General features: G+C 40.7%; 5 annotated features.

Moving 5' to 3' along the window:
* Positions 8,892 to 8,961: an enhancer, noted in NCBI's record as "active region_19588". NCBI's record gives its function as "activates an Ori minimal core promoter by ATAC-STARR-seq in GM12878 lymphoblastoid cells {active_cell/tissue: GM12878}" and the evidence as "EXISTENCE:reporter gene assay evidence [ECO:0000049][PMID:35858748]".
* Positions 8,972 to 9,021: an enhancer, noted in NCBI's record as "active region_19587". NCBI's record gives its function as "activates an Ori minimal core promoter by ATAC-STARR-seq in GM12878 lymphoblastoid cells {active_cell/tissue: GM12878}" and the evidence as "EXISTENCE:reporter gene assay evidence [ECO:0000049][PMID:35858748]".
* Positions 10,337 to 10,476: a silencer, noted in NCBI's record as "silent region_14137". NCBI's record gives its function as "represses an Ori minimal core promoter by ATAC-STARR-seq in GM12878 lymphoblastoid cells {active_cell/tissue: GM12878}" and the evidence as "EXISTENCE:reporter gene assay evidence [ECO:0000049][PMID:35858748]".
* Positions 11,534 to 12,235: an enhancer, noted in NCBI's record as "NANOG-H3K27ac hESC enhancer chr3:23109558-23110259 (GRCh37/hg19 assembly coordinates)". NCBI's record gives its function as "activates a minimal SCP1, AML or CMV promoter by ChIP-STARR-seq in primed H9 embryonic stem cells {active_cell/tissue: H9 hESC(primed)}" and the evidence as "EXISTENCE:reporter gene assay evidence [ECO:0000049][PMID:30033119]".
* Positions 20,690 to 20,859: an enhancer, noted in NCBI's record as "experimental_68455 CRE fragment used in MPRA reporter constructs". NCBI's record gives its function as "activates a minimal promoter by MPRAs in K562 erythroleukemia cells, with activity observed for the non-introgressed 3:23101019 variant allele {active_cell/tissue: K562}" and the evidence as "EXISTENCE:reporter gene assay evidence [ECO:0000049][PMID:34662402]".

The following is a 27,957-nucleotide window of genomic DNA, read 5'->3' as shown; positions in this document are numbered from 1 at the left end:
AGAATGAATCAGTTGTATTTATGTGCATATAACGAGGAAAGAGAGGAAGCTGTATTCTAACCAAGGGTGTTATAAACTGAGAACTTGGGTGAGAAAGGTACACAAAGATCGATTTATGGAATCCTGTCAGCAAAGCTGCGTTTTAAATAGCACTTATAGACTTTTTGGCAAAACAAAAGTGAAACAACTGGAACTGCTCCAGGCTTGTAAAACCACCCGTCAGTGAATCCAATAGACAGATGCACATTCCTACCTTGAGCCACGCCTCCTCCCCCACACTCTTCTACAATTCCTCCACACTAGCACTCACAAAGATACCCAAACTGGTTTACAAAATCAAGGCTTAACCCACACTCACCACAGCCACACTCTCTGGTCTTCTCTCCTTTGGCCATTTCCCGATACACTGATTCTCCTTTCCATATTTGCACATCAAAGCAGAGCTTGTCTTCAGCCAGGTCATTCACAAAAGATTTTGAATGGGATGGGATCTTGTGCCACAGTATTAGAGACTTTAATCCATATTTGGATCCATTCTTTAGCTTTCTACAGGAGTGGGGTTCAACCAGCTGAGAATCCCTAGAGTTCTAGGAAATATTTTGAGCTTCTGTTTTACACCAAGCACTGTCCTAGGCACCAGGGATTTAGCAGGGCACAAGTCCTGGTCCCTTCCCTTAAGGGAAGCCTGATATGGAGGGAAACAGGCAAATAGGATGCAGTCACCTTGAGATCACATCGGAGGGGGTGGCACACAGTCATGAAAGGCTCCTTGAGACTGAGTATTTAAACTGAGGTCTAAGAGTGAACAGAAATGAGCAGAGTGAAGTTGGACAGAACAGATGTGAAAGGAATTGAGAGAATAGCATATACAAAGTCCTGGAGGTAAAATTTCATACTAGCTTGCTAACAAGGTTATTATAAGCAAATTAAAGATAGCACCATGTCCCTTGGGTCATGAATTCATGGCCCACAAGCCGGCCATCATACTTGATGAGTTGGAGGAAGAGGATGCAATATTGGTCAGAAGCAATATGCTGAGACCAGGGTGAGTTCTGTTGGGCCAGTAGAATGTATTTGAAAGTTAAAATTTTTTTTTTTTTTTTTTTTTTTTTTAGACAGGGTCTGGCTCTATCACCCAAGCTGGAGTGCAGTAGCGTGAACTTGGCTCACTGCAATCTCCACCTCTTGGATCCAAGCGATTCTCCTATCTCAGCCTCCTGAGTAGCTGAGACTACAGGCACATGCCACCATGCCCAGATAATTTTTTATATTTTAGTAAAGATGAGGTTTCACCACGTTACCCTGGCTGGTCTTGCGCTCCCGAGCTCAGGCAGTCTGCCCACCTCAGCCACCCAAAGTGCTAGGATTACAGGTGTGAGCCACCCAACCGGGCCTGAAATTTAAATTTGAATGCCTTTAGGAAGTGTAAACTTTCTGCAGTTTGTCCCAAATCCTGACACTCTCTGAGATCATAAGCCAGTGGCTTACATAATTATGTTACTTGCCCGACTTCTTTGAGATCTTGATCCCTGGTCTGTATCATTTCCTTGATTTTTAACATAGGAGCTTGATTGCTAGGTAAACAGATCATTCATCTGTTTATTCAATCAATATTTATTTTGACACTATAACGGGGGGCTGTATATACACTGTTAAATTCAGCTTTAACAGAGCTTATAGTCTGGAGAGGAAGACAGGTAAGTAAATAAGCAAATGGGTGTGTAATATACCAGTTGTGATAAGTACTTTGAGATGGTAATAAGGGCCTTCTTTGAGGGGGGCGAGAGAAGGCCTCTCTGAGGATAAACTTTTAAGCAGAGACTGGAAGTCTTTGGGTTTTTTTTTTCTTTTTTCTTTTTCTTTTTTTTTTGGGCTGGAGTCTTGCTCTGTCACCCAGGCTCCCAGGCTGGAGTGCAGTGATGCCATCTCGGCTCACTGCAACCTCTGCCTCCTGGGTTCAAGCAATTCTCTTGCTTCAGCCTCCCGAGTAGCTCAAACTACAGGCATGTGCCACCATGCCTGGCTAATTTTTGTATTTTTAGTAGAGATGGGGTTTCGACATGTTTGCCTGGCTGGTCTCGAACTGCTGACCTCAGGTGATTTGCCTGCCTTGACCTCCCGGAGTGCTGTGATTACAGGTGTGAGCCACTGCACCCTGCCCCGGCCCCGAGACTGGAAGTCTTTGGAAGAGTATGGGGGAAGTGTGCTCCAGGCAGCAAAAGTGAAGCCTAAAGTGAAGTTGGGCAGGTTGGGACTTACACAAGTGCTTCTGCTCTCCAAGCCATGAACCCTGGTACAAGGCCGTGTCTGTCCAGAGGAAGGAATGGGCAAATTGCAGGATGACTAGCAGAAGCCCACTGAGAAGGCCTTGGCTAGGAAAGACCAAAGACAATAGATCCTTGCACCCTGTAGAACAGATATTCTTTTAAGGTAAACTGAATACTGGGGAAGTAGGTGGAGTTGGGAGCTGGATTAAGCTGTAGGAGTTGGTGGAAGTCCAGCAATGCTGGAGAAAGATAGTTTGTGGAGACCAGCATGATGGGGGATGCACTAGGGGGACATCTTTCTAGGAATGCCCAATGAGGCAAGTCTGGTTTCCAGGTAGATCAATGCTCTGGGAAGCAAAGACTTAGTAATATAAAGCAATGAAGGAAGGGAGGCAGGTAGAGCAACCCCAGCTTTAGGCCAATGGGCCCTGACAGACACTGGCCTTCAGCAGCGTGGGAAAGAGGAAGGAGCAGAGGAAAAATAAGAACTAAGTAACACTGCAGGAGCCCAGTAACCAAACCTGGGTCCTAGAATCAGAGAATTAGGACAAAGCTCTCTGGATGTTGCATTATTGATCTAGTGGGCTTTAAGTTCCTTGAATAGTACCCAACTCTGAGGAGTACCTAGGGCAAAGTTTGGTTTGTAGAAAGGAATTAAGCTGAATCAGATTTGTAGATTAAGTGGCTGACGGGTCGGTAGAGGTCCAGGCATGTTGTCACATGATATACCTAACTGATGACTTAAATGAAGTATTTGGGTGCACCAGTGGTCTCTCTCAGTCATTTCTGCATTTTTTCTTGGTTGCATAAGACGTTTCTTCTATACCATCTCAAATCTTCTCTAACATTCCTGTCTGTGGGGTCCTTGGCCATTTGTTTTCCCCATCTGCTATGGCAGCTGGCTTCACGTGGGCATAATCCAGTAATGCCCTGTTTTCTGCACCTCTGCATTTTTTTCTTGCTGCTGTGGGCTTTTGCCTAGCCTCTAACATGTGACATTCTGTGGGATCTGAACTAGCATCATGTACAAGCAACCTGAAAGTGTGGGGGCATTAATGTTCTGTGAAGTGAACTGGCCAATGTGAGACAGAAGCTAGCTGATAAATTCGTCCTTCCTCCCACAGAGACATAGTACCTTATGTGTCTAAGAAAATGATTGTATGAGATGGCACAAATAGTTGTACCTGTACTTGTTTCCAAACAGTGGCCAACTCAGAAACACATCCTCCTAATAGCTCTCCTTCCTTTCCCACTACACTCTTCTTCACCTCGTTTCTATTTCCTGGAGATTGCACCTTTAATAAAGTCATAACACATAAGCTTTTGCCTCAGGCTTTGCCAGGATACAATGATCTGTTTTAGATTTGTGCTAAGGTCAGTAGCTTACAGCTCAGTAGCTGCACAGCCAAGCTGTCCATGTGGCTACAGCGCACTTGAAATGTGGCTGGTCCTAATTAAGATGTGGTGTGAGCATAAAATACACATCAGATTTCAAAGATGCAGTATGACAAAATATGTAAAAGATCTCATTAATAATTTTTTTTACATTTATTACCTGAAGAAATGATAATATTTGGATATGTTAAGTTAAATAAAATGTACTATTAAAATGAATTTCATCTGGTTCTTTTAACATTTTAACATGGGGCTACAATATTTCCATCAGCCAGCATTTGCCTAGAGTTTGTGGAATCCACTCTTAGCCCTTTTAAAAAATTTAGAAAAACACCTGGCAATCTCCCATCTCCTTTTGTTCTTTTGGCACTTCTTTTGTTTTCTATGATTTCTTAAATGTTATTAATCAGTGATGCTGTGAATAAGTGATACTTTCAAAGCAGAGGAGTGCTTTTATTGGGGTCAAAAGAAATAGCAGCACATGTGCACTGACTGCATGAATATGTTAAAATAACCATCCGTATTTGTTAATGTCTAATTTTGCAGGATGTTAGGTTTGTAACTTGAACTACAAATGAATTAGGGCCTCTATCTGATGCCTTACTAAGCATATTAGGATAAGCACAATAGGTGTTGAAAAGGCTAACAGTTTAATCTTCTGGCATATTTTATTATATGTATTTTCCATGTTTTAATTGAATATCATGAGCACAGTGCTTAAGGATTAATTTTGTGCTGTTTTTTTTTTTTTGTTGTTGTTGTTGTTCACTGCTACTTTCAATTACATGTTGCAATTTGGTGGGCTAAATTACATTTGTTGCAGAATTTGGCCCTGCTGCTTTCTGTGGAATTTTCTTGTGGCTTTCTTGCCCAGGGTATTTCATCATGAAATTGTCTTATTAAGCTTTCGTGCACATGACATTGGCTATGCGCTATATACAGTACAAGTCAAATAGCTGTGGATTCTATTCTGTTCTATAAAAAGATAAGCTTCTGGCTTGGAGTCACATTCCTTCTCTTGGAATTTTGTTCTGGCTGGATTGAAATACTGTTAAAGAATAGTTTGGTGAGAAGTTGCTTGGGGGGCAAGAATTGAATGATTTCATACATAAAAGGAATGTGAGTTGAGATGGAGGGAGTAACAGGGTGGATAAGAAGTCAACTTCAAGCTGAGTGGGGAGTGGATGGAACAGATTTTAAAGATTCAAAAAGAGCAATGGTTTTAAAACAACAAATCAAGATTACTTGCCATGGCTCTACTCTATCTAAATATAAGATTTTTGGTTTTAGTTGTAAATCAATGTGATAGCAGAATATCTTACTTACAATTTTGGTTATCAGTTTATTGTTATAGAAAATCAAGAAAACATAGTCTCTAAAATTGTGAAATAATAAAGCTGGACTCTTCATTCCCAAGCATACTTCTAACGATATTCTTTCAACAGACACAGTATTTGAGTTGATCCCAATAGTTATATTCAGGGGTGAGTTTCACATGCCACAGGTGTATTCATTTCCCTTCTTTTGTAGCCCTTAAATTCTGTTTTCTTTGAAACTGTGTTTCTTTTCTTCTCAAATAAAAGAAACCAAATGTAGAGAAACAATTCTATCAAAATTCATTTCGATAAGAGAAGAATTAATTAAAGATGTGCTCATATCTGAATTGTTACAATAATATTAACTTTGCTGAAAAGCATAAATAAGCAGAGTGCTGGGACAATCACAGTAAATCATTTATCTCAAGCTAAAGTCCCTAAACTGTTTTGTAGCCTTACAGGGAGATAGAATTACATGTGGTATACTTAATAGGAAGTAAACCTTTTGTCCCGTTTATATCCCAGAAGAAACTTTATGCCAGATAAATTCTTGTAAAGTTGACATAAACTCATTCAGCATTTGGTGGCAATTGGGACAGCATCCCAAGGTTGTGTCAGTCTCCCACTGGATCAAGGCCCACTACCACACTCATGTCCAATTTGGTTTTGTGTTAAACATCTTTCAAAAGTCAGGATTAACAACTTTCACTGCTCATAAAATTAAGATGACTTTGTTAAAGTTTTATGGCCCAGAGAGGTAGGTTATCCTAGGCAGAAAATAAAGGAAATAAACTGTAGTTTAGAATTTTTTGGCCAACCAACATAAAGTATAATCTCAACAGCAAACATCATCAGAGCAGCCAATTTTGAAAATTAGAAAGAATTGGGCCAGGCGCGGTGGCTCACGCCTGTAACCCCTGCACTTTGGGAGGCCAAGGCAAGTGGATTACTTGAGGCCAGGAGTTTGAGACCAGCCTGGCCAACACAGCAAAACCCTATCTCTACTAAAAATACAAAAATTAGCCAGGCATGGTAGCACGCACCAGTAATTCCAGCTACTCGGGAGGCTGAGTCATGAGAATCGTTTGAACCTGGGAGGCAGAGGTTGCAGTGAGCTGAGATGGTGCCATTGCACTCCAGCCTGGGCAACGAAGCAAGACACTGCCTCAATAACAACAACAATAACAAAATTAGAATTCCAGGGATGATATTCATGCTAAGCTTGGAATACAGGATTTGGCTAACCTGCAACTGCATAAGCAATGGGAAGGTTGGGGTTTGAGTGTGCGGCAACATATTGTATTCATGGTTATGAATAAACTTCCAACTCCTAACATAGCCTTGATGCTTAGTAAGCCCTCTGTAAATGTTTGCATAATGTGCAAAGAGTGGAATGCTGGGATTTGTCTTAGTGGCCCTGGCAACTCATCAGGGAAAGTATGAGATGTGTAACCTGGATGTGGGGCCAGAAAGGGAACAGGTGAAAGCTGATGAGGTCATGAGAGATGGGAACATAGGGAGAACTTGCTGAGGTTTTCTGGTACATTTTGCCATTGACATTTTTTTTGCCTAGAGGTTTTTCACTTGTGCCTTTCTGGGGGGCACGTTAGAGGTGCCTCCCAGAGGAGAGGTTGATCCCGATAAAGACACATCAGAATCAAGTGGAGAAAGGAAAACCTTGAGGCTGCAAAAGGAATATAAGAAAAATTCAGTAAGTATAAGCATACTAAAAACACTGAAAAAATGCTAAGTTCATCTCTGAAGAAAATTTTTAATATGGATTCTTAAAAAGGGAATGAAAATTAAGGGCATAATTGCATTTACAGTATTTCTTACAGTTTTCATTTTTTAAGCATAAAATGACATTTGGGCCATCACAGTTAGTGTAGGATACTAATGACGATGGTATTAATGGGAGGACCAGGGAAAGGGAACTAGGTGAGAATCTTTTGTGCCAGGATTTATGATAAAGGCTTTGCACGTGTCATTCCCTCCAACTCTTACAATAAATTACTAATAATTGAGAAGCTCACAATGCTTGATAAAGTACAAGAAAACCCTTTGTTTTATCCTTAGAATAATTCCATAAGCAATGCACAATTCATGCTTATAAGTTTCAAATGCCAAAGAAGACAGAATAAGATGGAAAACTTTACCTTCAATCCTTGCTACTTTCCATAATCTCTTCCCTTTGTATATGAAATTACTGTTAACAGTTGATATGTGGCCTTCCAATTCTTTTTACTTGCATATATTTAACTTTTAAAATATGAAGAAAATTATTGAGAACAATTCATTGGAACATAAATATGAAATGATTTCATTTCTTAAAAATGACTTTCTCCCATATGTGATATTTTAAGTTTCCCTTTTTTGTTGGGTGGTGAGTAGGTTCCTTAATGAAACTTAGCCCTTTTCTATAGCTTTCCTGTTACTTTCAGTTACTATTAAAGTGGTATTATTTTTGGTATTTCACATTGTATTTATTTTGAAACTTCAGTCGTAAGTGCAATTTGGAGAGGGTCTCCCCCCAGCCTCAGTGAGGGCAGAGCTATGTGTGGCTCTAGCTACTTGGGTCCATGTGGGAGTGGGGGAAGGGAGCTTGCTTACAGCTTTTTCTTGGTGACTGTATCTGCTATTCCAGCCTTTGTGAGCTCAATGAGGATGGTGAAAGTATCAATATGCCCCATCTAAGAGAGGCTTGTTTCCATCAGCGGTGGTGGGCATAGGTATCCCTTTGTCATATTTAGACATCTCTTCCAGCCAAGGATGATATCCAGTCTCATTCTTTGATGGGGCACATCTTTTTCCTCTGCCACACCCAGCTATGGTAGTTCTAAGAAGGGTTCTTTCAGTCTCAACCGCTTGCTGAAACTACCCACCTCCAGAGCTGGCAGACATGCGGGATCCCATCTTCCATGTCTCTCAGAAATCAAGAACTCGAGGCAATTCTGACTTTCTTTCCACCTGGCACCTCCCCTATTCCTGCTTGTCGTCTCTCTCTGCTCTTTGCTATGTAGGTAGCATGGAGCAGATCATCAGGTCATCTGGATAAGCAGACATCATATAGGGATACAATGCCAGTCTTTTATTCTTGCGGTCACCCCAAATCTTTACAAGTGATTCTCTTGGAGCATCAGTGGAGATTGCCTACCTTGTTTTGGGGAAAGGGAAGCAATCCTTTCCCAATCCTCCATGGGAACCAGAGGGAATAGACTCTTGCTGTGAATTGCTATTCTAAGGCTGGTGATCTCCTCCCCTCTTAGTTCTCTTTTTACATAGACTAAAAGAGGGTCATGTGGTGGTGGGTGGTAGGACTGCTTCTGCATTTTTGTTTCCTCTTGTAAGGGCTGTGGGAGGTGGGTGGCCTCAGTGTTGGCTGCTTTGTGCACATAAAAACATGGAGTGTTTAGTGACTCTGTCTTCAGCCCTGCCCATTAGCGGAAATTCTGTACCATGAGATGAATCCAAGTTGACATCTTGTTTCATATCCTCAGTCACTAGAATGTGCTGTCATGCTGGTTGTTCTCTATTTGTCCCTCTGCTCAGGTTCTGTTCTCCATCCTTTCTGTCCTGTAATGTGCCCTGGAGAGCTGACTTCTGTGGATTATATTATCTTGGCTTCCTTCTCCTCTTGCTTCTGGTTTGTTTTGACTCATGGGAGGCACTGGTGTAAGGTTGGAGAGTAATAAGGAAATTGGGGTATTTATAACCCTGACCCTGTCCCAACTCATGTTCCTCTGTGGCTTCAGCTGCTGCCTGGTGGCCCCTCTTCCTTAGCTCCAGCTGTAACTATTCTCTCAGTTTAAGGCTGGTAAAACTTCCTGCTGGTGCTGATCCCTGTTGTATTACCATCCTGTGTGGGTTTCCTCAATCTCTTGCTGCTTCTTTGACTCTGTCCACACCTGTGAAGAGTCTCTTCATTAGAACAGTTTCAGTTAAATCCTTTGAGTGGGCCATCTGTTTCCTGCTGCGACCATGACAAATATGATCCCCCTTTCTATTACCAAAATATCTCGAGGTCTTGAATGTCATTACATATATATTTACTTACATGAGAAATGGCTGTGTAATCTAATATGAGGAAACCTCAGACACATCCAAATTAGGAGGCATTCTACAGAAATAATTGGAGTGAACTATTTATTTAAGAGATAGGGTCTCTTTCTGTCAGCCAGGCTGGAGTGCAGTGGAGTGATTGTGGCTCACTGCAGCCTCAACCTCCCAGGCTCAAGCTATCCTTCTGCCTCAGCCTCTTGAGTTGCTGAGACCACAGATGTGTGCTACCACACCCGGCAACTTTTTAAATGCTTTTATTGCAGAGACAGGGTCTCACCATGTTGCCCAGGCTGGTCTTGAACTCCTGGGCTCAAGCAATCCTCCCTCCTAGGCTTCCCAAAATGCTGGAATCATAGGCATGAGCCATTGTGCCCAGTTGCCTGTACTGCTTAAAAATGTCAAGGTCTCTGGGTGTGGTGGCGCAGGCCTGTAGTCCTGGTTTCTTGGGAGGCTGTGGTGGGAGGATCACTTGAGCCAAGGAGTTCGAGGCTGCAGTGAGATATGATCATACCACTGCACTCCAGCCTGGGGGATAGAGTAAGATCCTGGGTTAAAAAAAAAAAAAGTCAGTCATGAAAGACAATGGTGTCATGACCGCTGCAAAGTTAGAGATAACTGGGTTTATGCATGTTTGTGTCTTTCCATAAGGTCAGGCTTTTATTAATGCTATTTCAATCACAAGAGTCACAAACCGGCTGGGGGCGGTGGCTCACGCCTGTAATCCCAGCACCTTGGGAGGCCGAGACGGGCAGATCACAAGGTCAGGAGATCGAGACCATCCTGGCTAACACGGTGAAACCCCATCTCTACTAAAAATACAAAAAATTAGCTGGGCATGGTGGCAGGCACCTGTAGTCCCAGCTACTTGGGAGGCTGAGGCAGGAGAATGGTGTGAACCCAGGAGGCGCAGCTTGCTGTGAGCCGAGATAGCAACACTGCACTCCAGCCTGGGGGACAGAGTGAGACTCATCTCAAAAAAAAAAAAGAAAAAAAAAAGAAAAAAAGAGTCACAAACCACACAGAATTCCCAAGGAGGCAATTCTCCTTAGCACTTCCTGTTCACCCAGTAGTCAGAGCCACATGCACACAGGCTCAAGCCACTCCACAAGTCAGTCAATATTGCAAACCATACATAATAGTATACTTAATATATAAATGTTATGGATTAAACATTCCACAACAAACAAAGAACATTTAACATCAACAGGAAAAAAGAGATAGGAGAAAGAGGTGGTAAACCACCGTCCAGGATGAGTGAAGAAGATAAAAGGAGTCCTGGGCTGGGCTGGGCTGGGCAGGGCAGTCTGTTGGTCTCACAAGGAAGAGTCTTTGATGTGGTACAGCCTTCTGTGGCAGATGCCGAGTTCTTTTTTTTTTTTTTTGAGACGGAGTCTCGCTCTGTCGCCCAGGCTGGAGTGCAGTGGCGCGATCTCGGCTCACTGCAAGCTCCGCCTCCCGGGTTCACGCCATTCTCCTGCCTCAGCCTCCCGAGTAGCTGGGACCACAGGCGCCCGCTACCACGCCCGGCTAATTTTTTGTATTTTTAGTAGAGACGGGGTTTCACCGTGTTAGCCGGGATGGTCTCGATCTCCTGACCTCGTGATCCGCCCGCCTCGGCCTCCCAAAGTGCTGGGATTACAGGCGTGAGCCACCGCGCCCGGCCGCCGAGTTCTTATCATGAGTGGCTGCGAGACAATGTCAGTTAAGATGGCCTTTTCGAGCTGCTGAATGTGTAAGAGTGTGTTTGTTTGTACTCTTACCTGGTTGGATGCAGTCTTTATGTTTTTTTATTTGTTTATTAAGCTAAACATCATATTCTTGTTGGCAAGGTGCCCTGTGAAATATAAAATGGAGTCTTTTTGTAAGATGCAGTTAGTGTCAAGGGTGCTCTATACAAAAGGAAAACCAAGGAGCTATTACAGATTAAGGGAGACTCAGGAGACAGGACGAGTAAATGCAATGCCTGGTCCTGGACTAGGAGAAAAAAAGTTTATGAATTTTGCTGAAAATGACTAATGCATACGTGTGTATGTGTGTGTATATATACATATTATATATATATACACACATATATACACATATCTACATTATACATATGCATATATATACACATATATGTATATACATATACACACATATTTATATATGTATATTCATATATATGTAGAGAACGAGAAACGAATAAAGCAATTGTGATAAAATGTTAATTTTGACAATCTGTGTAAAGGATATATGGGAATTCTTTGTACTATTTTTGTAACTTTTCTGTAAATCTGAAATTATTTTAAAATAAAAATTCATACAGTGTTTCATAACCCAGATATACATAGCCACTGCCTTGCTCTTAGCAATTTACATAGGTTGTCTCCCATTTTTTTTCTATTGCAAATCGCCCTGCAATGAACACATATCTTTCTGTATATCAGCCAGTATTACTGCTGAATAGAATTGGAGAAGCAGAACTGTTGAGCCAAAGGTCATACACACCTTACATTTCGGTAGATTTCGGCAAGTTGCCAAAGGCTGTTTAGCAAACATGAGGTTTTATTCTCTTGCAAAATTATGAGAAAGGTTTTATTAAAAAGTTAGATTATAACCTATACAAAGGTCATCTTTCAAACTGATCAAATTTAGGTCCTCGGAGTTTAGAAATTTAGCCAACCCTAAGTTGTTTGCGTATGTGTTACTGAGACACAGCAGGGACTCCTCTGAGGGGCCTGCTGGGCCCGCTCAAGCATAAAAATGAAGGCAAATCTTGAGTTTCTTCAAGGAAAATTCCAGGTACCTAGCTAGCTTTGAAAAATAAATGAGCAACCTGACAAGCAAGAAGGTAACAATAGCTTGAAACAATAGCCAAGGAAGTTAGAGCCACAAAATGTTTAGTTCCCTATAGAAACTAAAGATAACACCTTAACACATATCCTTGAGTTGTTTTTCAGAAACCTGGACACCTACCAAATAGAAAATGCCATCCATTGGCACATAGACCTCAGATAAAGGGGAACTGAGGACTGAACTCTGACTTCTGTTCTTTGTTCTCAATTTCTTCCTGAGGGACCTGGAGGAAGTTATGCCCACAGGCCAGAGCTTAACATTCCTTTCGACTGACCCCAAGTTTTTAGACAAAGCTTTACTTCCTTAATCAATTGCAAATCAGGGAATCTTTGAATATACATGACCAGTAAGCTCCCCTGCTTTAAGATATCCTGCCTTTTAAAGCCAAACCAATGTATAACTTCCATGTATTGATTTATGATTTTGCCAGTAACTTCTACTTTTCTGAAATTTACATCTGCCTTTAAAAACCCTTGATTGTAAGCCATCCAGGAGGTTGGGTCTTAAGTGTGAGCTGTCGGATTCTCCTTGCTTGGTGTCCTGCAAATGAATGCCCTTGTTTCTCCTGCTATAAAACCTCAGTGTGGATATTTGGTATTACCATGCTGAGTGGGCAGACCTGAGTTCAGTTCCATTACATTAACTGCTTTTCCCGCTTTATCTCTAACAATTTCAGTGCCCTGCCTTTCTGCATCCTTCCTTTGCCCTGGGGTTTGTAACTCAACTTCTGCCTCCCTGAATTCCAGTTTGCCAGAAATGCTAACAGATTTTAGTCAGGAGAGTAAAAAAGTTAAAATATTACTTACAGAAATTAATTATATGTGGTTTTTAAAATTAAGCATGACATTGCTTCCTTTCATGAACATACGTAATTGTATTGGTTCATTCTCATATTGCTATAAAGAACTATCTGAGACTGTATAATTTATAAAGAAAAGAGGTTTAGTTGGCTTATGTTTCTGCAGGCTATACAGGAAGCATGGCTGAGGAGGCCTCAGGAAACTTACAATCATGGTGGAAGGCAAAGAGGAAAGAGTCATGTCTCACATGGCCAGAGCAAGAGGAAGAGAGAAGGGGGAGGTCCTACACATTTTTAATAACCAGATCCCATGGGAACTCACTCACTATCATGAGAACAGGAAGGGGGAAGTCAGTTCCCATGATCCAGTCACATTCTACCAGGCCCCTCCTCTAACACTGGAGATTACACTTTGACATGAGATTTGGATGGAGACACAAATCCAAACCATATCAATAACCAATAACAGTTATAATCCTTTATAAAACCAAGTGATCTAATATCAAGGTTGAATTGAAAATGTTATAAAGTTGTTTTACAGTTTATAGAACATGCTTGTGTTTGGTCTGTGAATATAATCACAAAATTTTAAAGATGGAAAGAATGCTATAGAGCATTTGGTCCACTCTCTTCTTTTGTAGATGTGAAAACTGATTCTCAGAGTTTGATATAATGACTGAAATCACATAGCTGATAACTGGCACAAGGGTTAAGTACCAGTTTTCTGACTTTTTAAACTACTCCTTCCTGCTTCATGTCTGTACTATCTCAAAGGTCTATAGGCTGTGTCATGGAACAAGTCATGTTATTAAACTACAAGTTGGGAGGTGGTGATTCAGGGTAGGATGGTTGAAATAAAAAATTATTTCTAGTATATAATGAAGAAAAGTTTGTGTAACGTGACTGTGTAAATGATTTATACCAAGCCCCTAACCAGGAAATATACTGATAAATTGTGTACTTCTCTTTTGATTGATGGGAACTACGTGAAAAAGCCCAATAATACGATGAGTATTAAAAATATCTTAACATCATGGGAGCCCCTGAAACTTTTGTGCAAGTTATAATTCCTTCATGCATCATATGTATATCCAATTTTGCTGTATTTAGAAATGATTAGATTTTCCTAGATAATTTGTGAAGTGGAAACTTGGATAATTAAGTTCCTAATTCTCTTTGCAGTGGCGTAATTCAAACTAAGATTGTACCAATCAGCTTTTATAATTGAAATAAACAATTCTTTGAGTGCTTATGCCATAATGAGGAATAATAACATATAATACATTATTAGTGCCAATTCCTCTCACCCCCACCAAATCATTCATATTTTGCTTAAAAAAATGTATTTTTGCTGGCTAACACGGTGAAACCCCGTCTCTACTAAAAATAAAAAAAAATTAACCAAGCGTGGTGATGGGCATCTGTAGTCCCAGCTACTCGGGAGGCTGAGGCAGGAGAATGGCACAAACCTGGGAGGTGGAGCTTGCAGTGAGCTGAGATCGCGCCACTGCACTCCAGCCTGGGTGACAGAGTGATACTCCATCTCAAAAAAAAAAAAGTACTTTTGTGTTAAGTTGGATGTGGGTGTATACAACATTCCAGAAGCTCAGAAAATTTCACATAGAATCCTCAAGTTTGAATGCAAATAGACTATATCTGTAACTTCTTCATGACTGGTGGGATCACTTGCAGAGAATATTAGGAGTTGGAAAACGTACATGGGTATGGGAGAAAATTTTGTAGCATGGCAGGAATAACTTGGCTATGAGTCTGGTCTTTAAGAGAAAGAGGATGGCTTGTCAGTGAAAAGATAGTTTCTATCCCACTGAGTCTTGGGATTTGCTCCTGACTGGGATTGATGTGTTTATTGAAGGGGATCCATCTGATTAGTGAGTGGCAGCAGCAGGAGTTTCAATCAATGGTGATACCATAATTGGGGTGGCTCCAAGTCTTCAGCTGGTGGTGGGCTCAAGAAAGTAGATAATCAATAACTGGGCAGATGGACAGGTCCCAACTAGGTGATTCTCAACCCTCTCCCACCCAATTTCCTCCATTTCAAACAAATATTTTGTTACACTTAACATTTATTGATAATCTACCTACAAACATAATTTAAAAAATCAGTATGCTCTAATTATAAAACAGAGAAGTAAAAGTAAATAATACTATTTATTTTTAATATATAATGCTTGTACAGAAATACACTGGAACAGTGCTTCTCAAACTTGACTGTGCATACAGATATCCAGAGATCCTGTTAAAAAGCATATTCTGGTTCAGTGGGTGTGGGATGGGCCTTGAGATTTCACATTTCTCACAAACTTCCAGGTGATGCTGATGCTGTTGGCACGTGGAATACACTTTGTGAGTAGCCTGGTCCTAGAGGACATAATGAAGAAATCAGAGCATTGCACTGAGAAAGAGAAAGCTTATGAATAGAACTGGACACAGGTGTGCTGAATTGGCAATTGAATTACCAGAAGTGTTGTTGCCATTATTCATGTGATTTTTTTTTAGGCAATTCGCGAACAATTCTTAGTAAAATTGTGATCAAAACAAAGTCTATTTTTCCCTTGATTTGCACAGTAGTTGCATTCCTACAAAAATACTTTGTGTTCATGTGTGAAATGAAGTTAACCTCTAGGCTCAGATTTATACACACATTTTTCACCTAACAGAATGTCCAGTGGAATACTTGACATTTTAATGGAATGTATGCATTCTTTATGTGCGGGACTATCCCATGGATGTCAGGACAATTAGCATCTGTGACTCCTGACCACTAAATATCACACCCAATTCATTGTGACAACAAAAAATGGCCCTGTCAGTTTCCCAACTTCTTTGGGGTGGAGTGTGGGATTCACAGAGTATGAATCAAGGCAGAGTGCTAGTCTCAGTCTGCTAATTAGCAACTGTATTGGTCAGGGTTCTCTAGAGACAGAACTAATAGGATAGATGTATGTATGAAGGGGAGTTTATTAAGGAGTATTGACTCACACAATCACAAGGTGAGGTCCCACAATAGGCCATCTGCAAGCTGAGGAGAAAGGAAGCCAGTCCAAGTCCCAAAACATCAAAAGTAGGGAAGTCGACAGTGCAGCCTTCAGTCTGTGGCCGAAGGCCTGAGAGCCCTGGTAAACCACTGGTGTAAGTCCAAGAGTCCAGAAGTTGAAGAACTTGGAGTCTCATGTTCGAGGGCAGGAAGCATCCAGCATGAAAGAAAGATAAAGGCCGGAAGTCTCAGCAAGTCGACTTTCCCACCTCCTTCTGTCAGCTTTTTTCTAGCTGCGCTGGCACTTGATTAGATGGTGCCCGCCCACATTGAAGGTGGGTCTACCTCTTCCAGTCCACTGATTCAAATGTTAATCTCCTTTGGCAACATCCTCACAGACACACCCAGGAACAATACTTTGCATCCTTCAATCTAATGAAGTTGACCCTTAATATTAACCATCACAGCAACCACAGCAGAAACCATTGTAAGGCTGGGACAAACACATCAAGGATTAAGATAGAGACCCTACAACTGCCTGGAGACAGGCTAGCCTTGGCTGGTCCCTTTGCTTATAACAGAAATGCTACTTCATTGTTGGACATTTGGGTTGGTTCCAAGTCTTTGCTATTGTGAATAGTGCCGCAATAAACATACGTGTGCATGTGTCTTTAATGAGTTCATGTCCTTTGTAGGGACATGGACAAAGCTGGAAACTATCATTCTCAGCAAACTATCGCAAGGACAAAAAACCAAACACCACATGTTCTCACTCATAGGTGGGAACTGAACAATGAGAACACATGGACACAGGAAGGGGAACATCACACACCGGGGACTGTTGTGGGGTTGGGGGAGCGGGGAGGGATAGCATTAGGAGATATACCTAATGCTGAATGACGAGTTAATGGGTGCAGCACACCATCATGGCACATGTATACATACGTAAGAAAACTGCACATTGTGCACATGTACCCTAAAACTTAAAGTATAATAATAATAATGAAAAAAGAAGAAATGCTACTTCAGACCCTGTTGGAGAAGGGATGGGCTGAAACAGAGCATACCTTCCAAATGTTAGTGTGTCTCCAAATCACCAGTGGATCTTGTTAAACTGCAGATACTGCTGGAGCAGGTCTGGGGTGGGACCTGAGATTCTGCATTTCCTGCAAGCTCTCAGGTGATATTCATGCTGCTGCACCAAGTTTGTTCCACAAACTCTGACTAGCAAGAGCTGCAGCATTTAACTTGGTGGGACTGGGGCTGTAGTTTGAAAACATCAGCGCCTAAAACTGAGGTAAGCTGAAGACAGCCAGGGCTGGACATATCATCCAGATCTTTCTTTCTCCCTCTCTAAGAATTATTTTCTCTCCACTCCTTTCACTCTTTGGATTGATGAAGACCAGCATACTAAAGTAAAACTAGCTTTTCTGCATAAGGTTGCTGGTGCTTGTCTTTTCTAGAATGAGGAAGTCATGGTAACATTTTGTTTAAAGGTCATTTTAGGTTTTAATGATACAGAATAAATAGTACAGACATTCTTATGTCATCCAAGGATTTAATTAGGCATACTTTGACATACTGTTAATGGACATTTGAAAGCCTGATTTACTGAAGATAATATCTAATTTAAATAATTATACTCTGATGATTGAGAACTTTCTCTAAAAAAATCTATTAAGGGAGAAAATTGTTATTTGGTTTGAGTCAAGAAGACAGAGATGCAAACAGATGCTATAAATTCCCACACTTGTGTCCAAGGCCTGGGCTAGAGTGAGAAAAGTGAGAGGCCCAGAGCACAACATTTAAGAAGGCACCTGCTATCAGTGTTGTGCAAGTGCATAGTTGGCACCTAAAAGTGAGTGCCTGACCCTGCCAGTGCCCAGGACAGACATTGCTGGGCAAATAGTGCTTGCGGAGGAGTTGATGCCTGTGCCAAGAACTGCATGGTGGATGTACCATCTACCTGGATCAAAATATCTTCCACTTGATTCCACCTCTGGGGACAGGACATATTGGAACAAAAGGCAGCAGACAGCTTCTACAGACTTAAAAATCCCTGCCTGATAGCTCTGAAGAGAGCAGTGGTTCTCCCAGCACAGCATTCAAGATCTGATAATGGACAGACTGCCTCTCAAGTGGGTCCCTGACCCCTGTGTAGCCTGACTGGGTGACACCTCCCAGTAGGGGCCGACAGACACCTCATACAAGCGGGTGGCCCTCTAGGATGAAGCTTCTAGAGGAAGGATCAGGCAGCAATATTTGCTGTTCTGCAGCCTCCGCTGGTGATACCCAGGCAAATAGGGTCTGGAGTGGATCTCCAGCAAACTTCAACAGACCTGCAGCTGAGGGGCCTGTCTGTTAGAAGGAAAACTAACAAACAGAAAGGGATAGTACCAACATCAACAAAAAGGACATCCATACGAAAACCCCATCTGTAGGTCACCAACATCAAAGACCAAACGTAGATAAAACCACAAAGATGGGGAGAAACCAGTGCCGAAAGGCTGAAAATTCCAAAAACCAGAACGCCTCTTCTCCAAAGGAACACAACTCCTCTCCAGGAAGGGAACAAAACTGGGTGAAGAATGAGTTTGACAAGTTGACAGAAGTAGGCGTCAGAAGGTCGGTAATAACAAACTTCTCCAAGCTAAAGGAACATGTTCTAACCCATCACAAGAAAGCTAAAAACCTTGAAAAAAGGTTAGATGATGGCTAACTAGAATAAACAGTGTAGAGAAGAGCTTAAATGACCTGATGGAGCTGAAAATCACGGTACGAGAACTACGTGACACATGCACAAGCTTCAATGCCGATTCAATCAAGCGGAAGAAAGAATATCAGTGATTGAAGATCAAATTAATGAAATAAAGTGAGAGGACAAGATTAGAGAAAAAAAGAGTGAAAAAGAAACGAACAAAGCCTCCAAGAAATATGGGACTATGTGAAAAGACCAAATCTACGTTTGATTGGTGTACCTGAAAGTGATAGGGAGAATGGAACCAAGCTGTAAAACACTCTTCAGGATATTATCCAGGAAAACTTCCCCAACCTGGCAAGGCAGGCCAACATTCGAATTCAGGAAATACAGAGAACACCACAAAGATACTCCTCAAGAAGAGCAACCCCAAGACATATAATTGTCAGATTCACCAAGGTTGAAATGAAGGAAAAAATGTTAAGGGCAGCCAGAGAGAAAGGTTGGGTTACCTACAAAGGGAAGCCCATCAGACTAACAGCGGATCTCTCTTCAGAAACTCTACGAGCCAGAAGAGAGTGGGGGCCAATATTCAACATTCTTAAAGAATAGAAATTTCAACCCAGAATTTCATATCCAGCCAAACTAAGCTTCATAAGTGAAGGAGAAATAAAATCCTTTACAGACAAGCAAATGCTGAGAGATTTTGTCACCACCAGGCTTGCCTTACAAGAGCTCCTGAAGGAAGCACTAAACATGGAAAGAAACAACCAGTACCAGTCACTGCAAAAACATGCCAAATTGTAAAGACCATCGATGCTAAGAAGAAACTGCATCAACTAACGGGGAAGATAACCAGCTAAAATCATAATGACAGGATCAAATTCACATATAACTATATATATATATATATTTATATATATATATTTTTGGAAATGGGAACATATGTTTTATTTATTTTATTTTTATACTTTTAGGGTACATGTGCACAATGTGCAGGTTTGTTACATATGTATACATGTGCCATATTGGTGTGCTGCCCCCGTTAATTCATCATTTATGTTAGTTATATCTTCTAATGCTATCCCTCCCCCATCCCCCCACCGCACAACAGGCCCTGGTGTGTGATGTTCCCCACCCAGTGTCCAAATGTTCTCATTGTTCACTTCCCACCTATGAGTGAGAATATGCGGAGTTTGGTTTTCTGTCCTTGTGATAGTTTGCTCAGAACGATGGTTTCCAGCTTCATCCATGTCCCTACAAAGGACATGAACTCATCCTTTTTTATGGCTGCATAGTATTCCATGGTGTATACACATATAACAATATTAACCTTAAATGTAAATAGGCTAAATGCCCCAATTAAAAGACACAGACTGGCAAATCAGATAAAGAATCAAGACCCATCTGTGTGCTGTATTCAGGAGACCCACCTCACGTGCAGAGACACACATAGGCTCAAAATAAAGGAATGGAGGAAGATCTACCTAGCAAATGGAAAGAAAAAAAAAAGCAGGGTTTGCAATCCTAGTCTCTGATGAAACAGACTTTAAACCAACAAAGATCAAAAGAGACAAAGAAGGCCACTACATAATGGTAAAGGGATCAATTCAACAAGAAGAGCTAAATATCCTAAATATATATGCATGCAATACAGGAGCACCCAGATTGATAAAGCAAGTTCTTAGAGACCTACAAAGAGACTTAGACTCCCATACAATAATCATGGGAGACTTTAACACCCCACTGTTAATATTAGACAGATAACAAGACAGAAGGTTAACAAGGATATCCAGGACTTGAACTCAGCTCTGCACCAAGCAGACCTAATAGACATCTACAGAACTCTCCACCCCAAATCGACAGAATATACATTCTTCTCAGCACCACATTGCACTTATTCCAAAAATGACCACGTAGTTGGAAGTAAAGGACTCCTCAGCAAATGTAAAAAACAGAAATCACAACAAACTGTCTCTCAGACCACAATGCAACGCAATTAAAACTCAGGATTAAGAAACTCACTCAAGACTGCCTGAAACTGAACAGCCTGCTCCTGAATGACTACTGGGTAGATAACAAAATGAAGGCAGAAATAAAGATGTTCTTTGAAACCAATGAGAACAAAGACACAATGTAGCGGAATCTCTGGGACACATTTAAAGCAGCATATAGAGGGAAATTTATAGCACTAAATGCCCACAAGAGAAAGCAAGAGAGATCTAAAATCGATACCCTAACATCACAATTAAAAGAACTAGAGAAGCAAGAGCAAACAAATTCAAAAGCTAGCAGAAGGCAAGAAATAACTAAGATCAGAGCAGAACGGAAGGAGATAGAGACACAAAAAACCCTTCAAAAAATCAATGAATCCAGGAGCTGGTTTTTTGAAAAGATCAACAAAATATACCACTAGCAAGACTAATAAGAAAAGAGAGAAGAATCAAAGAGATGCAATAAAAATGATAAAGGGGATATCATCACTGATCCTACAGAAAGGCAAACTACCATCAGAGATTACTATAAACACCTCTGTGCAAATAAACTAGAAAATTTAGAGGAAATGGATAAATTCCTCGACACATACACCCTCCTAAGACTAAACCAGGAAGAAGTTGAATCTCTGAATATGCCAAAAACAGGTTGTGAAATTGAGGCAATAATTAATACCCTACCAACCAAAAAAAGTCCAGGACCAGACAGATTCACAGCTGAAATCTAGCAGAGGTACAAAGAGTAGCTGGTAGCATTCCTTCTGAAACTATTCCAATCAATAGAAAAAGAGGGAATCCTCCCCAACTCATTTTATGAGGCCAGCAGCATCCTGACACCAAAGCCTGGTAGAGATACAACAAAAAAAGAGAATTTTAGGCCAATATCCCTGATGAACATCAATGCAAAAATCCTCAATAAAGTACTGGCAAACCAAATCCAGTAGCACATCAAAAAGCTTATCCACCATGATCAAGATGGCTTCATCCCTGACATGCAAGGCTGGTTCAACATACACAACTCAATAAACGAAATTCACAAAAACAGAACCAAAGACAAAAACCACATGATTTTCTCAATAGATGCAGAAACGGCCTTTGACAAAATTCAACAGCCCTTCATGCTAAAAACTCTCAATAAACTAGGTACTGATGGAACGTATCTGAAAACAATAAGAGCTATTTATGACAAACCCACAGCCAATATCATACTGAATGGGCAAATACTGGAAGCATTCCCTTTGAAATCTGGCACAAGATAGGGATGCCCTCTCTCACCACTCCTAATCAACATAGTGTTGGAAGTTCTGGCCAGGGCAATCAGGCAAGATAAAGAAAAAAAAGGTATTCATTTAGGAAAAGAGGCAGTCAAATTGTCTCTGTTTGCAGATGACATGATTGTATATTTAGAAAACGCCATCATCTCAGCCCCAAATCTCCTTAAGCTGATAAGCAACTTCAGCAAAATCTCAGGTTACAAAATCAATGTGCAAAAATCACAAGCATTCCTATACACCAAGAATAGACAGAGAGCCAAATCATGAGTGAACACACATTCACAGTTGCTACAAAGAGAATAGAATACCTAGGAATCCAACTTACAAGGGATATAAAGGACTCTTCAAGGAAAACTGTAAACCACTGCTCAACGAAATAAAAGAGGACACAAACAAATGGAAGAACATTCCATGTTCATGGATAGGAAGAATCAATATCATGAAAATGGCCATACTGCCCAAGGTAATTTATAGATTCAATGTCATCCCCATCAAGCTACCACTGACTTTCTTCACAGAATTGGAAAAAACCACTTTAAATTTCATATGGAACCACAAAAGAGCCCGCATAGCCAAGACAACTCTAAGCAAAAAGAACAAAGCTGGAGGCATCACACTACTTGACTTCAAACTGCACTACAAGGCTACAGTAACCAAAACAGCATGGTACTGGTAACACAACAGATATATAGACCAATGGAACAGAATAGAGGCCTCAGAAATAACACCACACATCTGATCTTTGACAAACCTGACAAAAACAAGCAATGGGGAAAGGATTCCCTATTTAATAAATGGTGCTGGGAAAACTGGCTAGCCATATGTAGAAAGCCGAAACTAGATCCCTTCCTTATACCTTACACAAAAATTCATTCAAAATGGATTAAAGACTTAAATGTTAGACCTAAAACCATAAAAACCCTAGAAGAAAACCTAGGCAATACCATTCAGGACATAGGCATTGGCAACGACTTCATAACTAAAACACCAAAAGCAATGGCAACAAAAGCCAAAATAGAGAAATCGGATCTAATTAAAGAGCTTCTGTACAGCAAAAGAAACTGCCATCAGAGTGAACAGGCAACCTACAGAATGGGAGAAAATCTTTGCAATCTACTCATCTGTCAAAGGGCTAATATCCAGAATCTACAAAGAATTGAAACAAGTTTACAAGAAAAAAATACCCCATCAGAATGTGGGCAAAGGATATGAACAGACTCTTCTCAAAAGAAGACATTTATGCAGCCAACGGACATAGGAAAAAATGCTCATCATCACTGGTCATCAGAGAAATGCAAATGAAAACCACAGTGAGATACCATCTTATACCAGAATGGCGATCATTAAAAAGTCAGGAAGCAACAGATGCTGGAGAGGATGTGGAGAAATAGGAACGCTTTTACACTGTTGGTGGGAGTGTAAATTAGTTCAACCATTGTGGAAAATGGTGTGGCGATTCCTCAAGGATCTAGACTTTTTGACCCAGCAATCCCATCACTGGGTATATACCCAAAGGATTATAAATCATGCTACTGTAAAGACACATGCACACGTATGTTTATTGCGGCACTATTCACAATAGCAAAGACTTGGAACCAACCAAAATGTCAATCAGTAATAGACTGAATTAAGAAAATGTGGCACATATACACCATGGAATACTGTGCAGTCATAAAAAAGGATGAGTTCATGTCCTTTGCAGGGACATGGATGAAGCCTGAAACCCTCATTCTAAGCAAACTGTCACAAGAAGAGAAAACCAAACACCACATATTCTCACTCATAAGTGGGAGTTGAACAATGAGAACACATGGACACAGGGAGGGGAATATCACACACTGGGGCCTGTTGTGGGGTGGGGGCCTGGGGGAGGGATAGCATTAGGAGAAATATCTGATGTAAATGATGAGTTGAGGGGTGCAGCAAACCAACATGGCACATGTATACCTATATAACAAACCTGCACGTTGTGCACATGTACCCTAAAACTTAAAGTATAATAATAAATAAATTACATTTCTTCCAACATATTTATCAGCTACAAAAGGGGGGCCTTTTGATCTCCCTCTCACCAACTACTACTTCTATGTCTCAGTTTGTCATTAAATCAAGTAAGGAATGTTTATTCTTAGGGCCATCGTTAAAAAAAAAAAAAGAGAAATATCTTGCACTTATCTTTGGTTGATGACCTAATATATGGAACACTATTTCTTATTAATAAGTTTGTGGTAGGCTGTAATAAACTCCATATAAAGCCATGCCAGTTCTTACCTTGAAGCCATACAAAGGGAAAAATCTCAACAATTCTCTTAACAGATTTCTCATTCTCTGTATCTAAAATTTCTTCTTGGGTTTCTTGCAGATATGATATTATTTCACCATAGAATTACATAGCTTGTATATTTACTATTTTGAAAGCTTACCTCAGAATGAGTAACTTCAAATTTGGTGTTAAAAACAGACAAAACAACAGAACATGAAAGTCAAAACCACAAACCACAGACTCCTTCTCCTACATGACTTGTAGTCGTGATTAAGTCATGAAAAATTTGTTATTTCTGAGAGAGAATAAGATCCTGAAGGCCAAATCCAATACTTGAAATCCTTCTGTTGAAAAAGGCAGTTTAGGATGCTACCTAGCTAGGTTTCAATTGCTTTGTTTCAGACCACTGAGTCAAAATCTCTAAGGGTGAGGGGTGGACATTTGGAATGTACAAAGCTGCCCGGGAGATACTGATGCTCAGGCAGGATGGAGAGCTGGGGCCCCAGGATGTGTCTGTTTTCAGAGAGTCAGAAGATGTTCACATTATTAAAAGTTGATTTTACTATATGTTAATCTAAAGATGTTACCAATTAAAATTTAATTTATGAAAAAAGCATTATAACAATAATGAAGATAAAACAAAAAAACCTATGACCCTTCCAAATAACTGATTTGTTTAAATTTTCTCTCTTTTCAAGTAGTTCTTCTCCAGGCTTCATAGTCCTTTTACTTTTGCAATGTGCTATGTTGATTCAAATAATGAATGAATTTCCTCCAAAATTCATCTGTTGAAACCTAATAATCTCCACTGCAAGAGTATTAGGAGGTGGGACCCTTGGGAGGTGGTTAGGTCATGCGGGTGGACCCCTCATGGGTGGGATTCGTGCCCTTATAAAAGAGCTTGAGGGAGCCTGTTTGCCCCCTGGGAATGCAAGGACAGAGCAAGGATGTGCCACCTATGAAACAGTGAGCACTCACCAGACACCAAATCTATGGGCACCTTGATCCTGGACTTCCCAGCCTCTAGAACAGTGAGAAATGAATTTCTGTGGTTTGTAAATTACCTAGTTTAAGGTATTTTGTTACAGCAGCACAAGTGGATGAAGAGATAGTGGCACAGGGTCTCATACTGAGATGGGCCTCTTGTAGAACATTGGTTTAATGTTCTACTGTCACTGACTGGAGATTCTTAATAACTTTTTAACAAGGGACCCCTCATTTTCTTTTTGTACTGGGCCTCACAAATTATGTAGCTGGTCATGTCTTTACATATCTGAATATAATTTTACATAGCTGTAATACCAGTGCTCATATGAATTTGTCTTTTTTTCACTCAAAATTGTATTTTAAATATTTTTTCATGCCATTTTATACTGTTACACTGTTTTCATGATAATCGATTTTAATGATTTGTATAATATTCAATTAATTGTATCTATAATCAAGCTAATATTCCCATACCTTAATATCTCCCATATTAGGTTGCTTCTTATTTTTCACTGATGTATATTCTATAGCAATGAGAATCTTTGTGCATTTAGCTTTATCTTTTGAAAATGTTTACATAGAATCCATTATCAGGATGAGGACTACTGTGTTGGGCTGATCATGCCTAGGCTGATCATGCCTAGGACAGAGCCAGTTTGTACCTGGTGTCTTTATTAATAGTCCCCATCATTGCTGTTAGAAGTGCCATAGTTTGGGCTATATATTTTATGTTGTTCTTGGCTATGACCAGTATTATGGGCATTGAGTGCTTTTAGAAGGAAGGACTGATGAAAGCAAATGATCAACAATAAGCTATTACAACTCAATAACATTGAGAATAGCCACTTCAGAAAATAAAATATAGTAAAAATATGCCTTTTTTTGAAAAGCCTGTCAAAATAGGTTTAAATTCTCCACACAATCACATAACTAAGAAAAGTAGAATTAATGAAATAAACAATAATATATTTTGACATTTTTATTTGTAGCAAATATATAGTTATTAATGCCTCATGTTAGGGAATACCACTTATAAACCAGGGTGTTACCTTTATTTTTTAAATCCACAGTGAATTCAGGCTTATATTAAAATTTCACTGATCCTAGTAATATCAATTTAAAATTTGTGATAATTCAGAAAGGACTTTATTTTTAATAATTTCAACTTTTATTTTAGATTCTAGGGGCACACGTGCAAGTTTGTGGCCTGGGTATAATGAATGATGCTGAGGTTTGGGGCACAATTGCTTCTGTAGAAGGGATTTTAAATAAGGTTTCTCTTTGCTGTATCAAGAAAAAAAGGATTTTTCTACGTGAAGGAATAGTGTAAATAAGAGTCAAGGAAGAGATGTTTATATACTTTATAGAATAAATAAAAGGCTTCAGTAACTGCGCGTACATAGACAAAGTGAAACGTCTCTGAAAGCTGGGCCGTGTAATGGCTTAGATTGAGGCTCTGATTTGCTAACTGAAATAATTCTTACCTATTCGTTAAATTAGGTCTTCATCCAAGTATGATTGCCATGTGCAGTTCTAGTTAGTACATGGACATGACCATGGCAAAGCCTCATTTCCTTGAAAATAGTGCACCATCATTATTATATTATTTTTCTCTGTTTTAGGCAGGCTTGACCCTTGAATTTGTTCCAAATTCGTGGTATTTTGCTTTTGTCCTTGAAGCTAGAGGCCTTATTTCTGGGATCAATGCAAAAGCTCAGGTGCTTTTAAGATGTGTGCTTGGGGCCAGGCGCGGTGGCTCACGCCTGTAATCCCAGCACTCTGGAAGGCTGAGGTGGGCGGATCAGGAGGTCAGGAAATCGAGACCATCATGGCTAACACGGTGAAACCCAGTCTCTACTAAAAATACAAAAAAAAAAAAAAAAAATTAGCTGGGCGTGCTGGCGGGCGCCTGTAGTCCTAGCTACTCGGGAGGCTGAGGCAGGAGAATGGCGTGAACGTGGGAGGTGGAGCTTGCAGTAAGCCGAGATCACGCCTCTGCACTCCAGCCTGGGCAACAAAGTAAGACTCCGTCTCAAAAGAGATGTGTGCTTGGAAAAGACCTATTTGAAACAAAAATGTATTCCAGGATTTATAGGCCATGGAGATCACAGCTGAGCATTTCTTCCCTTTGGAAGGAAAGTGCATATGGAGGTCAGTGGAGTCGGCCCAGGGTCAGTTCGTGCTTGCTCGGAGATTGAAGGTGGGCTGTTGGGCCAGTCAGGGAGCCTGCTACTGGAAGAGCAGGGTCTTGAAGGTTTCATGGGTTGTACAATCCCCATCTTATCTTTGACACCTAGCAGCTCTGTGACCGGGGACAAGTTTCCCATCTTCTCTGAGACTCAGTTTCCCTGTCTGTATATCACTGAGCGAGTTTCTCTGGGAAGTTACTGCAGTGAGTTTGAACTGCATTCCCAGAAGTGAAAGAAAAGATAAGGGACGCCTGAGAGTGGAGACAGCCAGGGGCAAATCAACAAAGCTGGAGTTTTGTGTGAGTCTCCTCCTGTAGAGCAGAGTCCCATGCCTGAGAAAAACAGACAGGAGAGCTTTGGACAGGATTAGTCATCTTGACTAGCTGGGCCAGAGGGGATGGCTAGCCATTTATGCCCTTGTCAGGGTGCAGGCACCGTTTCGGGCAGTTCAGGCTCTAGAGGGTGTAATCTCGAGGTGACCAGCAGAAGGCAGTGGCCAGAGGGCGTGTACTCACTGTCAGGGCCGAAACTAGAGTAGCAGGGGAATCTTGCCTCTAAGGAGAGGCTACAGTTGGGTAATAAACTAATTCTGAGCCCGGATCTGGATTTCCATCGTAAGACCTTAGTCTTTGATTCAGTAGTCTCTAATGTTAAAAGGTAAACTGAGGCATGATAAAATTTTTTTAAGTGTGTGTTTGTGCAACTTATGAATCAGGAAGTACCAAACCAGAAATGGGTTTAGGGACTCTACCAGAAGTGGTTCAGAGTAGAAGGGGAAGGCTTTTACAGGGCAGACAAGGAAGTAGCCCCCAAAAATGTGATTGCTTAGTTATACAGTTGCAATATGTGGTCTATCCTGATGGAAAATCCCTGGTTATATAGGTTA

Source organism: Homo sapiens, chromosome 3 (assembly GCF_000001405.40).
Source record: "Homo sapiens chromosome 3, GRCh38.p14 Primary Assembly".
In the NCBI taxonomy this organism is placed as follows: Eukaryota; Metazoa; Chordata; class Mammalia; order Primates; family Hominidae; genus Homo; species Homo sapiens.
This window is presented reverse-complemented; position numbering and strand designations above follow the sequence as displayed.